This window comes from Homo sapiens, chromosome 14 (genome assembly GCF_000001405.40).
Source record: "Homo sapiens chromosome 14, GRCh38.p14 Primary Assembly".
NCBI classification, from domain to species: domain Eukaryota; kingdom Metazoa; phylum Chordata; class Mammalia; order Primates; family Hominidae; genus Homo; species Homo sapiens.
Genome location: NC_000014.9, coordinates 71,321,657 through 71,322,934, shown reverse-complemented (window position 1 = coordinate 71,322,934; position 1,278 = coordinate 71,321,657). Strand labels below are relative to the sequence as shown.

General features: G+C 39.8%; 1 protein-coding gene and 1 long non-coding RNA gene across 40 annotated transcripts in view; one reads left to right on the top strand and one right to left on the bottom strand.

Annotated features, from left to right (window-relative positions):
- The window catches only part of SIPA1L1 (signal induced proliferation associated 1 like 1), a 420,734-nt gene that overhangs the window by 418,275 nt on the left and 1,181 nt on the right, over nucleotides 1-1,278 (bottom strand). The gene's annotated exons all lie outside the window — the stretch shown is intronic.
- SIPA1L1-AS1 (SIPA1L1 antisense RNA 1) overlaps nucleotides 1,087-1,278 on the top strand; it is a 29,125-nt gene continuing 28,933 nt past the window's right edge. For 6 of the 10 annotated variants that reach the window (NR_184179.1, NR_184180.1, NR_184177.1 and 3 more), the window contains exon 1: nucleotides 1,087-1,261. This is a non-coding gene — a long non-coding RNA (SIPA1L1 antisense RNA 1). The remainder of the gene's footprint in view (nucleotides 1,262-1,278) is intronic. The other 4 variants (NR_184174.1, NR_184173.1, NR_184175.1 and 1 more) reach the window with 1 other exon arrangement.

The window sequence follows — 1,278 nt, the reverse complement described above, 5'->3', positions numbered from 1 at the left end:
GATACTTCAGATTTTAAAAGTTCACTGTACCAGAATTGCAATTTCAAACTCGAGGAGCAGAAGCAGGAACTGCAGAGAAGCTAACAACAGCAACACCTACTGACTGTCTCAAGCCACTCACCAAACTTGTTCACTCAGTCAACTAGAAAAATCAAATGACAGTCAACTTCAAGAGTCCTTTACTTAAGCATTAATAAGAAAATTAGTTGTCAGAGACATAAAGCCATTCATCCCCCAAATCTCTTATTTTGCCTCTAACCATTTATGTGGAAACAATCACTCATCATTTTAAATGCACTGTTAATTGTTAATGCTTTAGCATAATTGATTCCATGGGAAAAATGTTTTAATATTAATATTGTAGTTAATAACTGGGATGTCATCTAATAGTTGGACACATCGGTGGCCATAATAAATTAGCTGAGACCTACTGTTATTACCACTGTTCCATATTATCCTCTTTTTTAAATCCTGGTAAAGGTAGCTTAATTGCAGCTTTCAAAAAACGAAGAGAAAAATGACAGTCGTTAAATCAGGATTATATAGAAAACTAATATTATTACTAAACTGGCTGCAGAATTCAGTATGATCTAACCTTGCACGTTTCCAAAAGATTCAGTCAGAGAATCTTTGCCTTGGACGGATACTCCATAGGAGAAAACAGGAGAAAGTTGACACTTAACTCCCACAGAGTACCAGCATAAAGACAATGGCTTTAAGAGTCTGACTCAGAGTTTCAACATGAAAGGTTTGCTTTATAGAGGAAACGCCAATCCCAGTCCATCCAGATAGACCTGGAACCTGATGAAAGTCGACACCTTTATTCTGAAATTTGCATCACATCGCTGGCTCCAGTTTAGAAACATGATCGTTTCACAGGTAGTATGCATTTCAGCGAATGCTGCCTCTAAACTACCCGTCAGGAAAAATAAAATCTATAAGGTAATCGTAGTCTAGGAGCCATCAATCCCCAAATGCTTCTCTTAGAAAACGAATGCCAACAATTTAGCTAAACATCTTCCTTGGAAGTGAGCCATTTCCCATGTCTCTCTGTTCTCCAAACCGCGATGAAATTTCAACCTGCCCAACACGATTACTGGTCCACCTAGAAATGCCGTGGAGCGATTTAAGAGCCTCGGAAATTTCCTTTAAGGTCAGGAGAGAAGCTGGTAACAGATGGGGCGAAGGAGGAAAAGTTCTTTTTGCGGCACCCTCACGCCTTCCCAGCCCTTTCGCGGTTTACTCGCTCCCCGGAAAGCAGGTTAGAGCATCCCAAAA